Consider the following 23,433-nt stretch of genomic DNA (forward strand, 5'->3'; position numbering starts at 1 on the left):
AGAACCGATGGACTGTGGTAAGAGCTGTCCTAACCTTATGCCCTCCTTAGGGCTAAGCCATAGGCAGTCTGCCCTGTCGATAGTGCTGCACAGAGAGCTGGCCCCATTTTCAGACACAGGTTGCTCGCAGGAGCTTTGTTGAGAAAAGAGGTTCATTTTTTATGCATAGTTCCTGGCAGGGTTGAGTTGAGAACAGTAGTTAATGGTCACACTGAATAATGCAAGTAGGAGTGGGTTGTTTATGAAATGGAGGCTGCTGGCTCAGAAGAACTGGAGCCTGTAAAGGGGGGATTGACCTAGAATCTCTCGGAAAACCTTCCCTTCCCTTCTGAGCATAATCTACTTATGATTATCATAACGACTCACATTTCCACTACATTTTTCCTCACATATATTTTCTAACTTGGTCTCAAAACAACCCATATGTTAGATATGAAAAATATTTCTGCATTGGATTATTGACGTTATGTAATATTGTATTGTATTGTACTACCACTCCTATTTTGTAAGCTAGAGCACTGTTAATATAATGAGACACAGACTCTCAAACTTTTTGTTTAAGAAATCTAATGGAGTAGTAGGTTCTATTTTTTACTTCTCCTGTTGGCTTAAGAAAAAAGCCTCACCAGTGTTTCTAGAAAATTCTAGAACACAGAATGTCAATATAAATATCATGATCAGGGCACTGAATTACTAAATAAAACAACCATCAGAATTCCAGATTTTTGAGAGGTTTAACAATTACTTTCACTAGACATAGAAATAATCTGAGATGATTTCTCCTTTGTTTTCTCCATCCTATCACTGATTAAAGCCCTTAAGGTGTAAACTCTTCCTTATAGAGCCTTGCACATAATAGGCATTAAGTGAATATTCTGTGGTTTAAAGTATAACTGTGTTGGCAGCAAAGAAAAGAAATGTCTTTAGTGCTAGAAAGAATGCGCTGTAATCTCCAGTCTGGGACATTCCCCCATAGCAAGGCGACTTCCACAGAAAGACTAGCAAGCGTCCACTGGGGCATGGCTGAGAGGACTCCCCCCCCAGGTCAGGGGTCCTCTGGAGTTCTTGTGCCATGTGTAGGCTTAGGCGACATGTGTAAGTTGGGAGCCCAGGGATCTAGCATTACCTCTCTAGATGTCTAATGCAACTGCTCACCAGGGTCTTCTGGCCTCCTTGAGGCACTTCCAGGGAGTAGGAGTTCCAGCCCAGATTTTCCAAGACCCATAGAAATTTCTGTCTGCCTAACCCAGAGGAAATACCCTTTTAGTTACACATAAAGGTAGAATAAGCACTTCTCTCCCTCAAACCTTATTCTCTTCCTTGATCTCAGGTCTTTGAAACCAAAGCCAGAACATCCTACAGGCTATATCAGCTCTCTACTCTGTATGTAACCTGAGGCACAGGGCTCAGCTTGAGAGAAGGAAGGAGAAGGGTAACTTCAGGGAGGGAAATACATATAAAAAAGTTCACTGGCCTTAGAAAGCTGTACAAAATACTAATCAAACTACCCAGTTCCAATTCACATTGCCACTTTGGCCCTGAGAAAGCTAACTTGGACTTTCTGAGTCTCACTTTCTTCATGTGAAAAACAGAGGTAATAATAGACCCAAAAGAGAGATGTAATGGTCAAATAAGATCAAGCTTATAAAGAACCTAGGATGGCACCTGCTATTGGTAATCACCCATGAAATGTGAGTGGTAGAATTTATGATTATTATTCTTACTATTATTCTTCCTATGAAATAATATCATATGGAAGATATAAGTATTATGACATCAGCAATATATCAGCACAACATAATAAGACTAAGGCAATGTCCTGACACCAAAGGCCACTCCCCAGTGTCCCTACTTCTTGTGCCTCCCCAGGAGCCTGGATGGAGGTGAGGCTGCTGAACGGCACAGGAAGGTGCTCAGGCCGTGTGGAAGTTCTCGTCCAGGGCACGTGGGGGACCGTGTGTGATGATCTCTGGGACCTGGCTGAGGCCACTGTCGTGTGCCGCCAGCTGCAGTGTGGCCAGGCTGTGGCAGCCCCCACAGGGGCCCACTTTCGGGCAGGCTCTGGGAAGATCTTACTGGATGACATGCAGTGTGTGGGCAGTGAGAGCCATCTGGGTCAATGCATGCGTGGGGACCAGGCCAGGCACAACTGTGGGCACCTGGAGGATGCCAGTGTCATCTGCACAGGTAAGGGGCTGTTTTCTTAACAAGAAGTCACTTCTTTGTTTTCCCTTCGAATAATACTTAATGATTGATTTTACTAAGCATTATATTATAAATGGCACTGTAAATGTTAGCATGTTGATTTTTCTTTTGATCATCAGGTGCTGGCAATTCACCAGGTCTCGCTCCAACCACAGAGCCTGAAGCTGTCACTTCATCATACACACCATCAGGTTGGTTCAATCTTTGCCAAAGCAAAAGAACCAAGCAAAGATTTCTGTCTCTTGCATAAGCCAGGATAGCACGGCCTGATAGAGCATGGTGTTACTTTTAACCTATCTGTGTCTTTAAATTTATTTATTTATTTATTGAGATGGAGTCTTGCTCTGTTGTCCAGACTGGAGTGCAGCAGCGTGAACTCAGCTCACTGCAACCTCTGCCTCCCGGGTTCAAGCAGTTCTCTTGCTTCAGCCTCCCGAGCAGCTGGGACTACAGGTGCACACCACAACGCCTGGCTAATTTTTTGTATTGTTAGTAGAGATGGGGTTTTGCCATTTAGCTAGCTGGTCTCGAAGTCCTGGCCTCAAGTGATCCACTCATTTCAGCCTCCCAAATTGCTGGGATTACAGGCATGAGCCACTGCACCCAGCCATATCTTTAAATTTAAAGTAGAGTTCTTTTAGGTAGGATATACTTGGGTTTTGCTTATTAAAAACCCTATTTGAAATCTCTGCCTTTTATTTGTGGTGTTTAGACCATTTATATTTAATATGATGACTGGCAGATACAGCTTACTAATTATCCATTGTTGTATAACAAATTACACAAAATTTTTATTTTAGAATGACAGATATTTATTAGCTCAGTTCCTGTGGGTCACATATCTTATTAGCTTAGCTGGGTGGTCCTGGCTCAGGGTCTTTCATGAGGTTATAGTCAAGCAGTCGGCCAGCGGTACAGTTAAGAATAGGCTTTTTTCTGAGCTCACTCACATGGTTTATTGGTGTCTTCTATTCCTCATGTGCTCTTTTACTTAGGACTTGAGTTTCTTGATGGCTTCTAACTGTAGGCTTCTCTGAATTCCTTGCCCCATGGGCCTGTCCATAGGGCCATGAACAAAATAGAGGCTGACTTCCACCATAGCAAGTGATGAGAGAGAGACAGAGAGAGAGCTCAAGACAGGACCCACAGTCTTATAATTCAATCTCAGAAGTGACAAGTCATAATTTTTGCTCTATACTATTGATCAAAAGTAAGTTATTAAGTCCAATCCAAAACACAGGGAGGGAAATCAAACCCTAGCTCTTGAAGGAAGGAATATCAAATAATTTATGAGTATATTTTAAAAATCACCACTGTTAAGTTTAAATCTACCATTGTGATATTTGTTTAAATTTACCATTTTGCCAGTTGTTTTCTATTCATTCTACCTGTTCTTTTTTACCACGTTTTTGTCTTCTTTTTTTGGAATTTATTGTTCCATTTTGTCTACTTTTTTGTCTGCTAGGTATAATTGCATTTTAAGTGGTTACTTTAGGATTTATAATAAACATCTTTTCTATGTGGCATCCTGTTTCTTCTGCCTGAAAGACTACCTTTAATACATCCTGTAGTGAGGGTCTACTGGTGACAAATTATTTCACCTTTTCTGTGCCTGAAAGCATCTTTATGTCATCTTCATTTTTTTAAAGATAATTTTCCTGGGTATAGAAATCTAGGTTGACCTTTTTGTTTCAATGCTTTAAATATGTTATTTCACTGTTGTCAGAATTTCATTCTTTCTGTCAAGAAGTCTATTGTCATTATCACCTTTTTTCTCTGTATACAATGTTTCATTTCTGGCTGCTTTTAAGATATTCTATTTATATGAATTCTAATCTATTTGGTTATAACGTACCTTGGGATAGTTTTCTTCATGTTTCTTCTGGTTAGAGGTCATTGACGTTCATGAATCTGTGGTTCACAGGGTTTTTTTGAATCAAATTTAGAAGTTTATCTCTTCAAATATTTTGTTCCCATCTTTTCTTCTCTCCTTTATGAACTCCAATTAAACATACATTAGGTTACTTGAAGTTGTCTCACAATTCCCTGGTGCTCTGCTCATTTTTTTTTTAGTTTTTTTTTTTCCCCATGGCATTTAGCTTTGGATATGTCTTCAAGTTCACTTACTTTTTTCTCTGCAGTATCTAATCTGCTGTTAATCATATCCAGTGTATTTTTCATCTCAGGCATTATTGTTTTCTTCTTGAGAAGTTTAATTTGGGTCTTTTTTATATCTTCCATATCTATACTTTTCATGTTCCATCTTTCCTCTACCTTCTTGATTGTATGATATAATTATTGTTTTCATTCTCTAGTGTAAAAATTATATTATTTTTACCATTTATTGGTCTGTTTCCACTGATTTATTCTTCCCATCATGGGTCATAGTTTTCTGTTTCTTTACAGCCTTGGCAATTTTCTATTGGATGCCAGATGTTGCCATTTACCATTTTGAGTATGAGTTATTGTTTATTTTCAATCTTACTTTAAATCACTCAAGTTACTTGGAAACAGTTTGGTCCATTTAAGCCTTGTGATTAAGTTTTGTCAGGCAAGAGTAGAGAGAACTTTAGTATGGAGCTAATTTTCCCCACTACTGGGAAATACCCTTCTGATTACCATACCGAATGCCTCATGTATTGCCTGGTTTCACTCTGGCTGGTAGGAAAAGGAACTATTCCCATCCCTGTGCAATCACCAAAGATTGTTCCCTCTACTCCTTTTAGGCAGTTCTTACCTTGGTCTTAGATATTTGCTCCACACACGTCTGCTGATTAGTACTTAGATAAAAACTTGAGAGAGACTCTCTGAAAATCTCTGGAGCTCTCTCTGTAGGCAGAGAGGTGAGCAACCTCCAGTACTTCCCAGTGAACTCTAGCCACTTTGTTTTCCCTGAATTTTCAGATCTATCTTTTGAAGGAGTCTGCCAGGATCCACCTGGGTTCCTCTTCACTCTGTTGTGCTCTGGAACTCTAATTAATAACCTAGGGTAATTATAGGACTCCCCATGCTCATTCACTCTCTCTTAGTGATTGCTCTCCTGTGCTGCCTGTTGTCCAAGATCAGAAAGCCATAATTTAATGTATTTTTTCTGATTTCTTAGTTGTAGAATGGTAAATCTGTACCCAATTATGGTAGTTTTCTGTTGCTGCCATAACAAACTGCTACAAACTTAGCAGCTCTAAACATTATCAATGCGTCATTTTTATAATTCTGTAAGTCATAAGTCCAGCGGGCTTAGCTGTTCTGTTTCAAGTCTTGAAAGGAAAAATTAAGATGCCAGTAGAAATCTGAAGGAGAATCTATTTCCAGGCTTATTGGGGTTGTTGGCAGAATTCAGTTACATGCAGTTGTACAACTGAGGTCCCTGTTTCCCTGCTGACTGCTGGGTGGGGGTTGTTCTCAGATTTTAGAAACCACTCACATTCCCTAGCTCATGACCCCTTCATCTTAAAGCTTGCATCAGTGAGTCAAGTCATTTTCATGCTTTTTAAATATCTCCTGCCTCTTCTTCTGCCATACCTCTCTATTTCAGCCAGAAAAGATTCTCTGCTTGTAAGAGAGAATTAGATTGGATGCACCCAGAAAATCCAAGATAATCTCCCATTTTGTGACCTGTCACCTTAATCACATCTGCAAAGTCTCTTCTGCCATATCATGTAACCTATTTGCAGATTCCAGGGAGTAAAACATAGACAGCTTAAGGAAGTCAATATTTAACCTCCCACACCAGTTACTACATCTGAGATGGAAATCGAAGTCAGTTTATTTTATTATAAAATGTATTAAAACCAATGAATACGTCAAGAATAGTGTAATGAACAATTGAATACTCACTAGTAGATTCTATCAAATATTAATATTTATTATAATTATTTTAGATTTTTAATAAAACAATACAGTAATTAAATGATATTTTATGAGTTAATAGGATACAAATGGAGGCTTATTTTGTTATGTGAGCCTCCCATGGTTTAAGCTACTAAGAGTTCAAATAAATTCAGCAAACATCTAGAAATAAACCAAAAGCTTTAGCCATTTAACTAAATATATCTGGTTTGTTCCTAAAAGGAATTTTTCCTTTCAGAATTTATTTTATGGGTGTTTAAAGGGTTAGAATGTGCTAACTAGGTGAGAGTTCTAAACGTACTGGATTTTCCATCCCATTATGCTCTAACTAGCGATAGATGAATGTGGTAGAGAAGGGAGAGTGGATGATCCTCCCTACCTGAATCTGCCTCTTGGGGAGCCAACCAAAACACTGACTGGACACATTTGAGCCCAGTCATTCTCTTTGGGCTTGTTGTCAGAAGTTTTCCCTTCTGTGTGTAGCTAGGAGGTATCTAGCAGTGAACAAGGCCTCTCTTTGTTTTATACTCACAGGTCAAGCACTGTTATTAGCTGTGCCCACCACAAAGCCTGCTGTGCTTCCCTCAACCCCCTTTCCAACAGGTCAGTTGGCATTTGTTCTGTGGGGAATGGGGAAAGGGAACCGTGTTCCAAGCCCTAGGCTTGTCCCTTCCCAGATCTAAAGCCACACTGGGTGTGATCATACTCCTGCAAATTCTCCTTGCCTCTGAGAAGCTAACTCAGGAGCTGATGCTGCCTATTTGACGGTGACCTTCAGGCTGTGTCTATTTTCAAATCTTCATCTTTCTAAAGTTGGGTTTAGAGGATGTTCTAACTATTAGGGATGCTTCTGTTTGTCCTTATGACAGGTGATGGATTATCTGCAACCATAGCCACGACAGCCATGACCCTGCCATCCACACCCATGCCCCCAGCAGGTAAGTCTTTTGGAAAATGGGTGAAGTAGCTAACATTTATGAAACAACCATGATGTGATAAGCAGAGAAGTAGATGCTTTCACTTAACTAACATCTCATTTTATGCTCACACAAACCTACAAGTAAAGTTACTCCTGACCCACCCTCATTTTTTTACATAGAAAGACAGAGGAAAATTAATTTACCTAGGATTAATTGACTAGAAAATGGTAGAGTAAGGATTTGAGCACATACTCTCAGGTCCCAATCCCATATACCTCTACTTGGCCAAAGCTTCTGAGGGAGACAATGCTAGAGGGACAGAAACTTCCGGCAGACCTAATTGCTAAGACCCAGATACATCAAGACCTTAATTCAGAAATTGTAAAGTCTGATGTCTTTCAGATCGTCTGTGTGTTGTCTTTTGTTTTCTCTGAAACCTTTTAGGACCTTTCTCTGTTCTTGTGTCTTGAGCTTCCATGATGTTTTACCTTGGTCTGAGTCTTTTTTCACACATTATTCTACATACTCCATTTAAGCTTTTAGTCTAGAGATGCATATTCCTCAGTTCTCGCAAATTTTCTTGAATTATTTGTTTGATAATTTCCTCTTGTCTGTTTTCCGCCTTGAAATCCCTTAGACAGATGTTGGATTTCCTATATTGATCAGCTAAATTTTGTAATTTATTTGTTTTTAATTTTGCATTTTAAGATCTTTTGCTGTGTATTAAAGTTTTATTCAACATTATCCTTTAAGTGTTTGGTTTTTAAAGAAAATTCAGCCATTGTATTTTTTAATTTCCAAGTGCATTTTCTTATTGCCTGGCTTTTCCTTTTTCATAACTTTCTGTTCTTGTTTCACAGATGCAGTACCTTTTCTAACTGTCTCAGTATACGTATTATAACTCTACTCAAAACTTTTTTCTCCTTTTGTTGTCCCTGTTTCTTTTCTCTGTTTTTCTAGTTGTTCTAATTTATGCCTCTTAGGCTGGATACTTTTCTTAAAGATCCAGGCATTCCTGGCTATCTGTTTGCATTTAAGAATGAGGCACTAAGGAGCTGATGCAAGTTAGGTGATGTCTCTCTGCTGGTTTTCCAGCAGCAGAATGGGGAAAGACAGCTAACACGTCCAGATCTCAGCTCTACCCTCAGTTCACCTGATGTCTGCAAGAATGGACCTTCGGGATTTAATTTCTCCAGAGAATAAATTCCCTGGCTGTGAGCGGGGAAAAAAATAAAAAACCCTTCTACAGATTTTCAACCAACAACCCTTTTTAGCATGGTAGTGATTGACCAGTATTGGAAACCAGGTGAGTTATTAGAAGAGTCAGTGGTCGTGTCCTTAAAACACAAATCCATGCAAAGATACTATTTAAAAGCAGCTTGTTTATAGTTTTATCATGGAATAGATGGGACTATAAAGCTGTTTAGATCATTTGTCTTGCATGTTGTAGTTTTGTATAATACAACTTATCTGTTTTACAAATTAGTTTACTTCATTCTGCAAATTATGGTGCCTGTTTCTGTTGGGGTGATCAGACCTGACACCAGGCCGTGGGGGCTACAGAGTCCAGCAGAGTCAAAGGAATGAGAAAAGACAGGTTAAGAGTACATAAGGTGGGTCCAGGGGGCCAGTGCTGGTATGGAGGCTGCAAAGGCCCCCAAGCTCTGGGAGCCTACACTATTTACTGGTGATCAACAAAGAAACAGATGGTGAGGACGTGCGGATGTGGGGGTAGAAAGGTAGTGGTGCATCAAGTGTAGCTGTGTCGGTTTCGCATTTTCTTTGATGCATATAGCTGCTTGAGATGATGGAGAACATGTTTACGAGCCTGGGAGAGCAACCAATAAGTCTGTGCACATTCCAGAGGCCATGAGGGGTTTTATGCCCTGAGCCCTGGATTCCATCCAAGCCACGAGGGGTTTTATGCCCTGGGCTTAGATTTGTGGTGTGGCAGGGCAGCCTTCCACCCTTTGGCACAGAGCTTGGTGTTCCAAAGGCCACAAGGAGTTTTAGACCCTGGACCCTGGACATCTTCTAAGACTCTTATATTATGACAGACAAGCCAGTCCTGCCTCAGCTCTTCTACCAACATGTTTCATTCCTCAGTAGCAAGTAAAGTCTCATTTTCTTAATTTAAAATTTAAAGTTCCATATTGGAATGCTTGTGTTCAAATTTGAGAAGGCCACATAGAAATGTATGACCTTGAGCAGATTACTTGAACTCCCTGAGTTGCAGTTTCTTTATTAGCAAAAAGGAAAAAATAATTAAAGCAATATCAAAGACTCATTGTGAGGGTCAAGTAAGATTAAACTTGTAAAGCACTCTTATGGTGTCTATAAGGTGGTAAACCCTATGAAATATTAGTATTGTTATTATCATTATCATGACTATTTTGTGGTATATGAAAGATATTAATATATATATAACTAGTAGTATAAGAGCTCAATATAACAGGATCAAGGCAATATCCTGACACAAGGAGCCCAGTCCCCAGTCCCCTTCCCCTTGTGCCCCCACAAAGAACCTGGAGGGAGGTGAGGCTGCTGAATGGCATGAGGAGATGCTCAAGCCTTGTGGAGGCTCTCATTTAGGGCACACAGGGGACCGCATGTGGTGATCTCTGAGATCTGGCTGAGGCCACCATTGTGTGCCACCAGCTGCAATATGGCCAGGCTATGGCAGCCCGCATAAGGGCCCACTTTTGGTCAGGCTCCAGGAAGATCCTGCTAGATGACTTTCAGCATGTGGGCAGTGAGAGCCACCTGGGGCAGTGTGTGAACAGGAGCTGGACCAGGCACAATTGTGGGCACCTGGAGAATGCCAGCATCATCTGCACAAGTGAAGGAATGGCTCTCAGTCCTCACTTAGATGTAAAATATTATTCCCCAGGATCTTTCTACAGAATTGGCAGTGCTGCAGATAGCTCACACATGAGAGTATATAGATGATAGATGTTCTCTCTTTACTGGTAGGTGCCAAGTCTTCAATCACTTCTCCAACAGGTAGGACCAACTTCCCTTTGTTAACTAGATGAAACACTTGTGGATATTTTCTACTGATCTTAACCAAGAGCCAAAGATCACCTCCTACCTCATCTTACAAGTCTTCTTTCTAGTTCATCTTGCAAGATATCCAGCTGACCTCCCTGAGGAAAGCAATGTACTCTGCGATTGCCTCCACAGAGCCTTCTTAACCTGCAGGCTCAAACTGCAGGGACTGGCATGCACAGCTTCTTACGAACAAAGAGCAGCATCCAAGCTCCCTAAGTGGTACAAGCCTGCAGGAACCTCTGTACATCAGGAAAGAAAATAAAAGTCACCTTGAATATATTAGTCCTCGTCTGTGTTAGGACTAGTTCCATTTTCTTGCCCTTTACTGCATATGTGAGTTGAAAGGTATAGAAGAATGATCAACATCACCTTTCTTTGGCATCTGTAACACCTGAATTGCTAGCTTCCAGGCAATGAAACCACATCATTAACACGTGATTGAACCTAGTTAGTCAATTTAAGAAAATAATACTCTGTGATTCAGGACACTTGATATTTACAAACTGCCACCATACACGTGATTTAATTTGATCCTCACAATATCCAGTGAAGTTGCCAACACAGAGACTATCTCCATTTCTCAGATGATAAAACTAAGGCTCAAAGAAGCAAAAGAGCTTTATTTGTTTTTCTTACATCTTATCTGCTGTACTCCTTTAGAAAACATATTGACACATAGTAGTTGTTCAGTAAATGGTGCCAATGTTTATCCCGGTATTTCAAACATCCAACTACCTGACATGGAATTGAAAAATGGGAAGTCGATACAAGCCATGCAACATTTATGCTTGGTAATAAATCATCAGGCTGATTGCTGCCAGATTCTAAACCACATGTTCAAATAAGTGTGATATCAGTCTTCTGAGAAATGTCACACAGATAATAAAGTCAGTACTTTCATATTTTTCACCTGGGGACACTTTCTGTCCATAGTACTTCACTCCTGAGATAATTTGGCTAATAAACACCAATCATGGTGGTCCCTGATGTGTGTCTTTGTACAGAATCAAAGACATATAAAGTTTAAATTTGGATGGATACTTAAGAACGTACAGCAAAAATTCTGAGTTTAATTTCCTCCTTATTCCCATATTTTTACATCAGAAAAGAAGACAAAATGAGCAATAAAAATGTAGACTTCATACAGTTACCTTATTTTACCTGAATCTTGTTTCAGTAAGAAATGAGCTGGTTAGGGTTAGGATCTTTGAAAACAAGTAGACCTGGCTTCATATCCCAGTTCAGACACTTCCAAGCACTGAGCTTCTGGGCAAGCAACTCACTCTCCCTGAGTCTTGGTTTCTGCATTTGTAAAATAGGAGGAAATAGTCCATCCCTTACTTGGTGGTCAAGAAGTTAAAACAAGGTCACCCAGGCAGAGCATTTGACCTAGTGTCTGGCAAAGAGATAGCATATGATAAATGCGATCCTAGCTACCGTCTTGTTTTGTCTCCGTTACAGCTCCTGAGTCATTTGCTGCTCCTGGGGCAACAAAACCCACAATTTATGGTAAGCCCCTACCACAAGGCACACAAACACCTGGACTTAAAGTGCTAGAGCATTGGGCTGGAGAGGACTTTCATGAACATCTGGTCTACCTCTTCTGACCTCACCCTACCCCCATGTCCCCAACATCAGCCTGAACCCATTGAGTGTCTGAGTCCTCTCTGCAATATCTGCCCAAGTCATAGACTGTGAGACATCTGTATATTGCACTTGAATGTTATCACTTAGCTAAGTGAAATACCTAAAAGAGTAGTTAGGGATTACATAGGTTACTATATGTAAAGTTCTTAGCAACCAGTCCCCTGACTATCCTGGCGCGTGTGTGCATATTCACACACACATACACACACACACGTGCGCACAGAGACAAACTTAATTATTCCATTCACTGAGGTAGTCAGATTTTTACCATGGCCATTTAGTGAGCACTTACACATGTGCCAGGCGTGGTGAGAGAGCACAGAAAGAAGTCAGACACAGGGACAGCAGCAGCAGCAATGGCACCTAACATTAACTGAGTACTTACTATGCACCAGGCCCTATGTCAAGCTTATATCATGCATTATCTTATTTGTTCCTCTTGGTTATTATTCCTGTTTTACAAGCTAGGCACCTGAGGCTTAGGGAGCTTGCATAACTTGTCCTGTTCTAACTCTAAAACTGATGCTCTTACCCACTCCATCTGTTGGTCCCTGCCCCAAATGTGTCTATTATCCAGTAAGGATGTCAGACACACACTAGGCCACCACCATCAATGTAGATGATGGGAAGTGCCATGAAAGGTATACAGAACATAGAAGGGAGAGGATTACAACTGGGGGATTCCAGGAAGGGTCGATGGAGGTGGCAAGGGGAGGAGAGCTGTAGGATGGATAGAATTTTAGCCTGTGGTCCTGGGGATAGCAACAGCTTCTAGGAGCAAAGAGAAGGACAATGCTTGAAGGAACGATTTACAGCCAGGGGTCCTGTAAGTACCTTGTGAGGGTGCTTGAGGTGCATGCATCCCATCACACTCACAGGAGACCCCACAGCTCATTGGTTATTCCGTGTCTTCCTCTGAATAGGCAGGAAAGAGGTAATCTAGGATTTGACTTTGCTGCGTTGATTATCTGTTGGACACTCTCATTTTACCCATATTCCTCAGATCTTAAAGGACATATGAGCACAGGGAGGGCCCCTGAGCCTTAAGTCTTGAGTTCGTTCCACAGGTATCATTGGTCTGACTATAACTCAATTCCTACCATGTTTTCTCACTTGTCCCAGAGAACAAGAGTGGTAATATTCATTAAACACTGATTATGCACATGCTATGCTATGTTAGCATTTTATATGCATTACCCCATTTAGTCCTCAGAGCAACTCTACTAAATGAGCATTATTGCTATCACCATGTTTGCAGAGGAGAAATCAGGCAGGAAGAGGAACTTGCCCAGGACCACACCACACAGTTAGAAAGCAATGGGTGTGGAATGCAAATGCAGGCAGTCTGACTCCAGAGTCCAGGGAGTCATGTCTAAGCTGAACTGATTCCCTATGGGAGGAGAAAAGAGGAGAATTTCTGCCCACCAGCATTTCACTCTGGTGGGCAGCTGCTGCCATTTCAGGGAAACAGGCAGCCCAGCAACTTGGATAACCTCAGGGAGAAAGCGTTTTTATATCAAAGGCACCAACATCTTCTAAAATTCCACCATCAGTTACCAGCTGCAGGAGCCTGCATGGAGGTGAGGCTGCTGAATGGCACAGGGAGGTGCTTAGGCCGCGTGGAGGTTCTCATCCAGGGCACGTGGGGGACGGTGTGTGACCACTTCTGGAACCTGGCCGAGGCCGCCGTTGTGTGCCGCCAGCTGCAATGTGGCCAGGCCATGGCAGCCCACTTCGGGGCAAGCTCTGGGAAAGTCCTGCTGGATGACATGCAGTGTGTGGGCAGCAAGAGCCACCTGGGGCGGTGCGTGCACAGGGGCTGGGCCAGGCACAACTGTGGGCACCTGGAGGATGCCAGTGTCATCTGTGCAGGTGAGGGTCTGGTTGTCAATCTTCATTTGGAGGGCTGCTTCTAGTTCCTTCACTCCTCTCTCCTCTACACACACAAACCACACCCCACAGCTTAGTCCAGGAACATAGTGGAGCCAGGCAGGTAACTGGTACTGCCTACAGCCTTTCAAAGTTCTACATAAGCCTGACCATCTCCTTGACTGCAATGATCTGTAAGTATGACTCACAGGCTGCACCCAGGCTCAGAGGTAAACCTCTTCAGTTTGAAAATCAGGATGAACATGAATTTAAAAATCAAAACATTTGACGTAAAAATTCAAATTCTTACATGTTGTAACAATAAATAAGTGAAAGCAGAATTTCAGGCACAGAACAATGCATCCTTTCACTACATTAACTGGCTGGATCTGAGAAAGAGCTGTTCCTTTGGACATGGAATATCTTTGCAGTTTTCACAGCACACACCTCCCCGCCACTCTATTTAGCTTACCTGCATGATCCTCAGAAACTTTTGAGCTTGTGGCATCCAGGTAACAAGCCAAAACAATCAGCTGGTGTTCAGGACCTCCATGTTCCTAGCCTACCAAGGTTCCCACACCAATCTGTCCCCCTGGTCCTCCCTAGTCTTTTCTGGTCCTCTCCTGCTTGCAGCTGGAATAATGTCTCTATGAATGACAAGCTCTGCAGGTTGAATCTGGCTCATCCTGAGCCACATCCCCTCTGTGGAGTATGGGGCCTTCCTCAGCACCTGAGGCCCCTGGGGAAGTACTGGCTATCCTGGGACAGTCAACATTTGCTGCCCAATGTCCTGTCTCAAATCCTCAGGAAATGCCAAAATCCTCAAGAGCAAAGCCTCTGCCTCTTTCTCCTTTCCATTGCCCTAAGCTCCCTAAATGTAGGAAGTTCCCAATAAACCTTTGCCAATGAAGACAAGATAACATGCACAATTCTTCTTTATGTTGACAGGTGCTGATTCCACAGCTGCTCTGCCTACAGGTAGGACTGCATGTCACATTCAGTGTCAAATACTAGACTTACCCTGATGTAAAAAAGACTGTGAGGTTTAGAATCAGATCTTTATTTGATTCCCAGCATCATTTATTCATGCAACAGATATTGGCTGGGTGTCTACCCTGTGCCAACTTCTGTGCCAAGCACTGGGGATGGGGATACAGCGGTGGTCAAAACTGCCCTGTTTCTTCTTCTTCTCTTCTTTTTTTTTTTTTTTATTTTGAGATAGAGTCTTGCTCTGTTGCCCAGGCTGGAGTACAGCAGTACTATCTCAGCTTACTGCAACCTTTCTCTCCCGGGTTCAAGCAATTCTCCCTGCCTCAGCCTCCCAAGTAGCTGGGATTACAGGTGCCCACGACCACGCCTGGCAAATTTTCGTGTTTTTAGTAGAGATGGAGTTTCAGCGTTGGCCAGGCTGCTTTCAAACTCCTGACGTCGGGCCTCCTGATCTGCCCACCTTGGCCTCCCAAAATGCTGGGATTATAGGCATGAGCCACCACGCCTGGCCCCCTGTTTATTTTTTTAATGGGGTTTATACTCCAACAGGAGAGATACATGTGATATATAATCACCCTCAGTTACATAACCTCAGCCAAGTTATGTTATCTCTCATCCTATTTTCCTCTTCATGGAAGTAGGGACAGTAAAGAGCTTTGAATAAGGGCATGAATAGGGCAATGCCTAAGGGTACCTGTTACCCAGCAGCACTTATGCAGCAATGGCTGCTTGTTTTGGGCACATGTGGACCTAAGGAAGTAGGTGTGAGGGATGGTAAGGGTCTGGCCTGCAGGAATTTGATCCAGGCTGGCCTCTCACTGGATGAATGACCTTAGCCTTCAGTCTCCTCATCATTAGAACAGGCTTGTTGGATTCTATGTTCCCTAAAATTCTAATCCTTTGGCTTTCTGTGACTAATAAGGAGAGAGTAAGCAGCTACATGGTCTAGCTACATAATGCCTGTGCCACTGTGGAAAGCAAGAAATTGTTGCCAAAAACCAGAGACATAGGATTTGTAATAGGAATTAAGGGAGACTTCCTCCCCTACAACATTTTATTATGGAAATTTTTAAATATACAACAAAGTTTGAAGAATTTAACAAGGAACTCCTACCTAGATTCCATGATGAGTCTATAAATTCATCTTTCATTTCTGCATTCATACATCGATCCATCTCATTTTTTATTAAAGTTTGATTATATACCATAAAATGTGCCCATTTTAAGGTCCAGTTTGGTGAATTGTGGTAATTGTATCCAGTTGTGTAACTACTACCACAGTCAAAAACAGTTCCCATGCCGTGCAAGGCTTCCTCATGCCAATTCAGAGCAGATTCCAAGTCATGACAGTGGCATATGTAGGGAGGAGGCAACAGAGAGAGAGGTGCTGGCCAATGGATGGCCTCTAGACAGCCAGCCCCCTGGGGCCAACGGCCTATGAGCTTCGCTTTTGCTGATTGCCACAGGGTGCACATTAGTTCATCCACAGTAGCAATGTCATGTTCTGCCCTAAAAGGAGACCTCAGGGATCTGAGCTCATGGGCCTCAGAATGCCCCCTCACCATTATTCCTGCTGAATCCTGGGAGGGGATGGGCATCCCCTTGAAGCAACTGTATCCTCTCCCCATGTTGTGATGTTCCCTGATGACAGTCCTTCCTTTTTGCCCACCACTAGCCCATGAGAACCTGCTCCCCACATCATTGGTGATATCAGTGGCTCAACACCCACCGTCTTCTGCACCACCAGGTAGAGCTGTGTCTTTTTGTATTATGCCTTCTGAAAAACTTCATTCATTTGACAATGATGGATAGACAGAGAGGCAGAACAGACAGACAAGCGGGTTGAGAAACAAACGGACAGGTAGGCAGACAGGTAGATACAAAATCTTATCAGTATTAGGGGTATTCCAGGAGTGGATGACTAATGGCAACTTCTTTGTACTTAACAGTGAGTTTTTAAGAATGCAATTTGAATAAATTACAACTGATAGTGGATGGACTCTGTCATCTTCATATACACAGAAGCTCCACGTTGGCTCAGATTAATTGGGAAAACTGAAGCAGTACTTTACTCATTACTACTAGTGACTGGGCAAAAGTCAAAGCTACAGAGCCCACAACTAGCCAGAGAAAAACGTTCTGGCTGATATCGCGTAAGAGCTCTTTCCAGGCCAGGCGCGGTGGCTCACGCCTGTAATCCCAGCACTTGGGAGGCCGCGGTGGGTGGATCATGAGGTCAAGAGAGCAAGACCATCATGGCCAACATGGTGAAACCCCGTCTCTACTCAAAATACAAAAATTGGCTGGGCATGGTGGCGCGTGCCTGTAGTTCCAGCTACTCAGAAGGCTGAGGCAGGAGAATAACTTGAACCCAGGAGGCGGAGCCAAGATCATGTGATTGCACTTTAGCCTGGTGACAGAGTGAGACTGTGTCTAAAAAAAAAAAGGAAAAAAAAGAGCTCTTTCCAGCAAGCCCATGTAGATGGCAGAATTCTCAAAAGAGATGAGAAATGTTTCAAAATTCAGATGCATTTATCCCTTAATTTCTAAGTTTGCAAGGCTTTTTAGACTAGTTGATAACTTCTGATATGTCCTAAGACATAATCACAAAGTAATGACCAGTAAAATCCTTTTTGGAAAAAGAGTTTTTTTAAAAAAAGATGTGAATTACAAAATTAGTAAACTGAACAATCAAACAATCGAAATTCTAAAATATATTTCTGCATTTAGAAAAATCTCGGTGTGGTGGCATTATTACCAACTCATCTGGAGCGATTAGGAATCCCCCACAGAATGAAATGCATGACAACATCACTTGTGTGTGGGAAATCAAGGCAAATGCATCTGATCATATACTGCTGGCATTTCCACATCTTGAGTAAGTCATAAGCTGTTACTAATGTACTTTGTGTAGCTTTTTAACTTTCTTATTTTGTTTTTGACAGATAATAATTATATATATGTATAGGGTAGGATGTGTGTTGTGACACATGTATACATTGCAGAATGATTAAGTCAGTCTAATTAACATACCCATTGCCTCACATACTTACCATTTCTTTGTGAAAAGAACAGTTAAATTCTACTTTTCTAGCAATTTTGGAACATACAATACATTACCATTGCTAACTACAGTCACCATGACATGCAATGTATCTGTTAAACTTATTCCTCCTATCTAACTGAAACTTTGTACCCTTTGACCAAATTCTGTCTCTCCATGCACCTCCACCCTTACCCCCAGGCTCTGTTAACCATCATTCTACCCTCTATTTTTATGAGTTTAGCTTTCTAGATTCTGCCTAAAAGTGAGATCATGCAGTGTTTGTCTTTCCATGCCTGGCATATTTCACTTAACATAATGTCCTCTAGATTCACCCATGTTGCAAATGACAGAACATCCTTCTTTTTTGAGGCTGAATAGTATTCCACAGGCATATACACCACATTTCCTTTATCCATTCATCCATTGATGAACACATAGATTGTTCCCATATCTTGGCTATTGTGAGTAATACTGCAGTAAGCTTGGGAGTACAGATACCTTTTTGACATACCGATTTTAATTCCTTTGGATTTGTACCCAGAACTGGGATTGCTGAATGATGTGGTAGGTCTATTTTTAGTTTTTTGAGGAACGTCCAAGCTGTTTTCCATAATGGCTATACTAATTGACGTTTCCATCAGCAGTGTGTAAAGATTCCCTTTTCTCCACATCATTGACAACATTTATCTTTCTTCTCTTTTTATAATAGCCATTCTGACAGCTGTGGTGATATCTCATTTTGGTTTTAATTTGCATTTCACTCATGATTAGTAATGTTGGGCATTTTTTTCATATACTCATTAGCCATTTCTATGTCTCCTTTTGAGAAATGTCCATTCATGTCCTTTGCCCATTTTGTAATAGAGTTATTTGGTTTGTTGTTGTTGTTGTTGTTCCAACAACTGTTGTATCAACAGCTTGTTCCTTTTTGTTATTGAGAAGTATTCCATTTGTGTGGATGTACCAGGGTTAGTTTGATCATTTCCCCACTGAAGGACACTTGTGTTGTTTATAGTCTTTCACTTTTACAAATCAGTCTTCTATGAATGTTCATACACAGTTTTTTGTGTGAATATAAGCTTTTGTTTCTCTAGGATAAATCCCAAGAGTACAATTGCTAGGTTGTACAGTAAGTACACATTTAGCTTTTTAAGAACATACCAAACTATTTTCCTGAGTGACGACCATTACAAATTCTCACCAACAACATATGAGAGATCCAGTTTCTCCACATCTTTGATAGCTAGTATGGGGTATTATATTTTAGCTATTTGTAATTTGCATCATTCAAATCCTATGTATCTTTTATGAATTTATACTTAGGTATTTCTTTTATTTTTTATTTTTTGGGGTGATTATAAATGACACTGTGTTTTCCATTTTAGTGTCCACATGTTTGTTGCTAGTATAGAGAAATACAATGATTTTTATGAGTTTTCATGAATTTTTAATTAAAATGAAATTGACCTTTTATTCTTCGGATAAGTGTGTGTGCATGAGAGAGAAAAAGAGCAGAGAAAGAGAGATAGAGAAAGAGAGAGAGAGTGTGTGTGTGTGTGTATTCTGGACTGCTGGTTACAGATATAAATTCTAGGGTACCCCAGACGTAATAAATCAGGAAATTTTAGATTTTAATGTTTTAAATGGTAATTCACTGATGACAAATTCATGGTGAATTTTTTGTGGAAATCAGCCCCTACGAACAAGTTAAATTATTTATTATGCTTGAATTTTGTTTAATCGAAATATGGCTTGGAACAGATGGCTCATCAGATTGAAGCATGAAAGTGGTTTTTGGATTCTAGCACTGGGAACATCTGAACAAAACATCAGAGTAAAAAACAGTAGCTGACAAAATCAGATAACTTCCACAGAGCAAGTGGTACCCACTTTCCTCTGGGTGGGTCTACTGCCAAACACTTGTAAATGCATTATTTACAACTTGGAACCACATCCTACTGGCAGGCCCATGAGAAGCAAGCAGCCTCTCCCTTTTCCCGGGCCCCTCAATCACCACATGGTGAAACTGCCTTGATTTCCCAGGCCCTTCCCTTGGCCCTAGGCTGTGAAGTACTCTGCCATCTTGGGCTGCTTCCAGGAGCACATTTCGTGCCAGCCTCCTCTTTCCTCTTCCAATTAAAATCCCATTCCCTTAAAGCAATGTCTCTTAGAAAAAGTAGGATCAAAGGAACCCATGCTATGTTTAAATGACTGCCACGCTTTTACTCTATCGCCAACATCTTTGTAGTAACAAAGTGAAGTATCTGTCTCACAGCATGCCTCAAATGTCTTCTAATGAGGAAACTGAGAGGCATCCATGGTGTTTGCTTCCCCAGCCTTGACTGCACCAATGAATATTTTGAAATCCTGGACGGTCCACCATCCTCAGTAAAGTCATTGGGGAGGACCTGCTCTGGCTTCCAACACACCTACATCTCCTCCTCCAGCTCAATGACCCTCGTGTATTTCCGAAGCTTCAACAACCTAGGATAAAACTTCATTGCTTATTATTACTCTGCACCCAAAGGTAAGAATAGTGGTAAAGAGCAACAGTTCCAGAGCTGGACTCTCTGGCTAGGAGCGAGTCACAGTCCTATCACTTACTCTGTGACCTTGGGCAAGCAACTTGACCTCTCCCAGCCTCAATTCCTTTCCTGCATAATGGGGACAACAAGGAACCCTTACTTTCTAGGTTTATTGTAAGGGTTACATGCAATGAGGTAAGTAAAACACTTTGCAAAGTGATGGCACGTCATAAATGCTTGATAATGGGCTGCTTTATCATGAGCTTTTTCCTTTTACATGAACATCTCATCACAGTCAGCCCATTAGAAAGTCATTTCTGAAGTTATTCTGAATCTAGTACTAGGTAGGTGTTTTAGGACCTGCAGAAGAAATCATAGTCTCAGCCTGAGAGAGGCTCATGTACAACCAAGAGGAAGTTTAAGGCAAACACAAGGGGTATGCATAGAGGACAAATAGAAACACTAGAAGAAGGCAAACAATAGAACAGATAAATATACGAGAATATACTAAATTGACATATGCATGCACCTGTGCAAAAGACATTAGGAAAGAGAGAGAGTGCTATATAGGTTACAAGTATTAAGGAAACATTGAGGGGAAACGGCTTCTAAAGCTGGCTAGGCTATAGGTAGAGAAAGCGAGATAGCACATCAGGTGAGGTAACAGCATGGCCTAGAGATAGGATATATAAAGTGTGTGGCAAGAAGGCAGATGGACTAAGCCAAAGGTGCCTGTTGAAGTGCTGGGTACTCAGGGTTAGGCAATAATAACAACAACAGTGATCAAAATGCTCAAAATATCAGCTAACATTTACTGAGTCCCTATTACATGCCAGGCAGCATTTTAAGCACTTCACATATGCTATCCTCACACAGACCCATGGTTCTTCCCCTTTTACAGATGAGGAAACTGAGACTTATGAGGTTCAGTAATTATCCAAGGTTCTACATTATTCACCACTAAAAGAAAACGGGCAGAGCTCATGAAACTGCAAATAACTAGTATCCACTTTTTCCAAGACATTGTTCAAAACAGTCTCTTGTATTTTACCAAGTGCCAGGTTGACTCACTAAGCAAGCTTTGGAAACATGCTATAAAACACAAAGGAGATGCTCTGTGCACCAAAGTAGATCATGAAAAATCACCGTAATTGATGTTAAATGGCTATTGACGATGTATTTCCTTGTACTTGCAGAGGCAGTGTTGCAGACCCCACATCTAATCAGTGAGTCACGTTCATGCTGTTACTCAAATTTCACCCCTAATTTCTTCTTGTGTCCCCTCTCCCAGTGCTTTTACTCTCATTATTTGCTCTGTCTCTCATAGATGATTCCAAATTCCCTGTATAAATCTTCTGTAGATGAGAGATTCTGTCTGCACAGTTTCTGCACAAATATGATGCCCATTTACACTGGAACCAAGTTATGCCTATCAACGATTGAGTCTTTGCATATTGATAATTTTTTATTTGATCTCCTTTTTTGTGTTTATCAAAGCCAGTGACTCACTTAATCAGATACTCACTTTTAGGGAAAGTTAACAAAGCAGAAGCAAGCAGAAGAAACAGCTGTTTTCCCCAGGACACTGATAGTGAATGTTTGCATTTTTGCATAGAATAGCACAATCTAAATATTGTTATATTTATGGTAACTGAGCAGAAAAAGAGAATTTTTTTTTTGACCCCACATACCTGAGAAACATAAAGACACACGTGAAAACAGAGTTTGATTTGGGAGATCACATGTTACAAAGATTACAGGGAAAAAGAATCAGCCAGAATCTTGGCATTTACTGAAGACTGATCCCAGAATGCTGCCCTCTTGACTTGCCCAAGTCGTCCCTTCTTAATTATGGGAGTCTTCTTGTATCCACAGCCATCCCGACAGCAACACCCAGAACAGTAACAGCAAGAGCAGGTAAGCCCTGAAATGCATTTATTCATTTACTGACTGTGTCCTTTCCTCTCAGCACCTGCATTTGTATCCTCACCTGTATCTGCTTCATGCACAGAAACTGGACCAACTGCAAATAGTGCATCTATTTGCAAATGGGACATTTGATTCTGCCCAAACTTTTAGAGACATTCAAAACTTTTGGGATCTTTTGGCTCTAGCATCCCAGGATGAGTAAACTTCATTTTTTGGTACCTTTCAGAGTCATCAAAGCTTGAGCAGCTTACAAGTACTTTCTAGTGGGGTTCTATCTTTCCACCTTATGACCAGTACTGATCATGGTTAGCTCCCCATCCTCATCACCAATAGACTTTAGCAAAGTAAGTGGAGTGTCAGAGCCATTTCAGAGGCAGTGAGATAGAATAGCAGAGAAAAAATTGTGAACTTTGGAACCAGGAGACCGGACTTTAGATCTGCTGCTTACCAGTTGTGGGATTGGGAGTGAATCACTTTGCTTCTCCAACTTTCAGTTTCCTCATAGATAAAATTGGTACACCAATACTCTTCTGTTTACCTTCCTGAGTTATGATAAAGGTGGAGGTGAACACACACACACACACACACACCACACTTTCTAAAATCACAAATCACTGTGCAAATTATTTGTTTTTCTGCACTTAGCCAAAACAAATGGGCACATACCTCTGGAAAAATAGATACTCAATTAATGGACTTTTAGTGCTACAGACAATCCTAATGGCTTTGCAACTTCCAACTAAGAGGTTGAATAGTTGACCAAGTACAAGGTTCTCCACTAGTAGTAGTATGGGGTGGGGAGCTCAACACTCATGGGAAGGGTGCAGTGCCCCCAGAGGACAACAGTCACCAGATCTCTCTCTGCAGGGGACTGGCCGGAGCTGCAGCTGGTGGGTGGCTCTGGCCGGTGCTCAGGACGCGTGGAGATTCTCCACCAGGGCGCCTGGGGCACCGTGTGTGATGACCTGTGGGACCTGAACGAAGCTGAGGTTGTGTGCCGGCAGCTTGGGTGTGGTCGAGCCATGTCTGCCCTTGGAAAGGCCCACTTTGGCCCCGGCTCAGGAGACATCTTCCTGGACAACCTCCAGTGCGCTGGTGTGGAGCGCTACCTGGGCCAGTGCACCCACTCGGGCTGGTCAGAGCACAACTGGCCACCACGAGGATGCCAGTGTCATCTGCTCAGGTATCTTCTCCCCTCTAATATGGGCACTGCCAGTCCTAGAGTGCTTCAAAATCTCCCTGCCAGTGTTCAGAGTCAGCCTGGAACAAAAACAGAATCCTCAAACATTTAGCATTTGATTTTTGCTGTAGCTTTTCTAACTTGGTTAAATAGATGAGGTTTTATCCGCTAGCCTCCAATATAAAACCTCGTTTTCTAATTTGGTAGCAAGTATTACCAAAG

At 41.6% G+C, this 23,433-nt stretch overlaps 1 pseudogene across 1 annotated transcript in view, besides 2 other annotated features; it reads left to right on the forward strand.

The window, feature by feature from the left end:
- Window positions 1-1,857: 1,857 nt before the first annotated feature.
- The window catches only part of DMBT1L1 (deleted in malignant brain tumors 1 like 1 (pseudogene)), a 40,952-nt pseudogene continuing 19,376 nt past the window's right edge, over window positions 1,858-23,433 (forward strand). The window contains exons 1-14 of the transcript NR_003570.2: window positions 1,858-2,187; window positions 2,325-2,396; window positions 2,561-2,658; window positions 6,589-6,657; window positions 6,924-6,992; window positions 9,948-9,977; window positions 11,487-11,534; window positions 14,490-14,519; window positions 16,207-16,278; window positions 17,262-17,409; window positions 19,914-20,104; window positions 21,299-21,328; window positions 21,978-22,019; window positions 22,899-23,214. The product of NR_003570.2 is annotated as a deleted in malignant brain tumors 1 like 1 (pseudogene) (transcript). The remainder of the gene's footprint in view (window positions 2,188-2,324; window positions 2,397-2,560; window positions 2,659-6,588; window positions 6,658-6,923; window positions 6,993-9,947; window positions 9,978-11,486; window positions 11,535-14,489; window positions 14,520-16,206; window positions 16,279-17,261; window positions 17,410-19,913; window positions 20,105-21,298; window positions 21,329-21,977; window positions 22,020-22,898; window positions 23,215-23,433) is intronic.
- Window positions 12,869-13,370: an enhancer, noted in NCBI's record as "H3K4me1 hESC enhancer chr10:124527221-124527722 (GRCh37/hg19 assembly coordinates)". NCBI's record gives its function as "activates a minimal SCP1, AML or CMV promoter by ChIP-STARR-seq in naive H9 embryonic stem cells {active_cell/tissue: H9 hESC(naive)}" and the evidence as "EXISTENCE:reporter gene assay evidence [ECO:0000049][PMID:30033119]".
- Window positions 13,371-13,870: an enhancer, noted in NCBI's record as "H3K4me1 hESC enhancer chr10:124527723-124528222 (GRCh37/hg19 assembly coordinates)". NCBI's record gives its function as "activates a minimal SCP1, AML or CMV promoter by ChIP-STARR-seq in naive H9 embryonic stem cells {active_cell/tissue: H9 hESC(naive)}" and the evidence as "EXISTENCE:reporter gene assay evidence [ECO:0000049][PMID:30033119]".

Source organism: Homo sapiens, chromosome 10 (assembly GCF_000001405.40).
Source record: "Homo sapiens chromosome 10, GRCh38.p14 Primary Assembly".
Taxonomy (NCBI): Eukaryota; Metazoa; Chordata; class Mammalia; order Primates; family Hominidae; genus Homo; species Homo sapiens.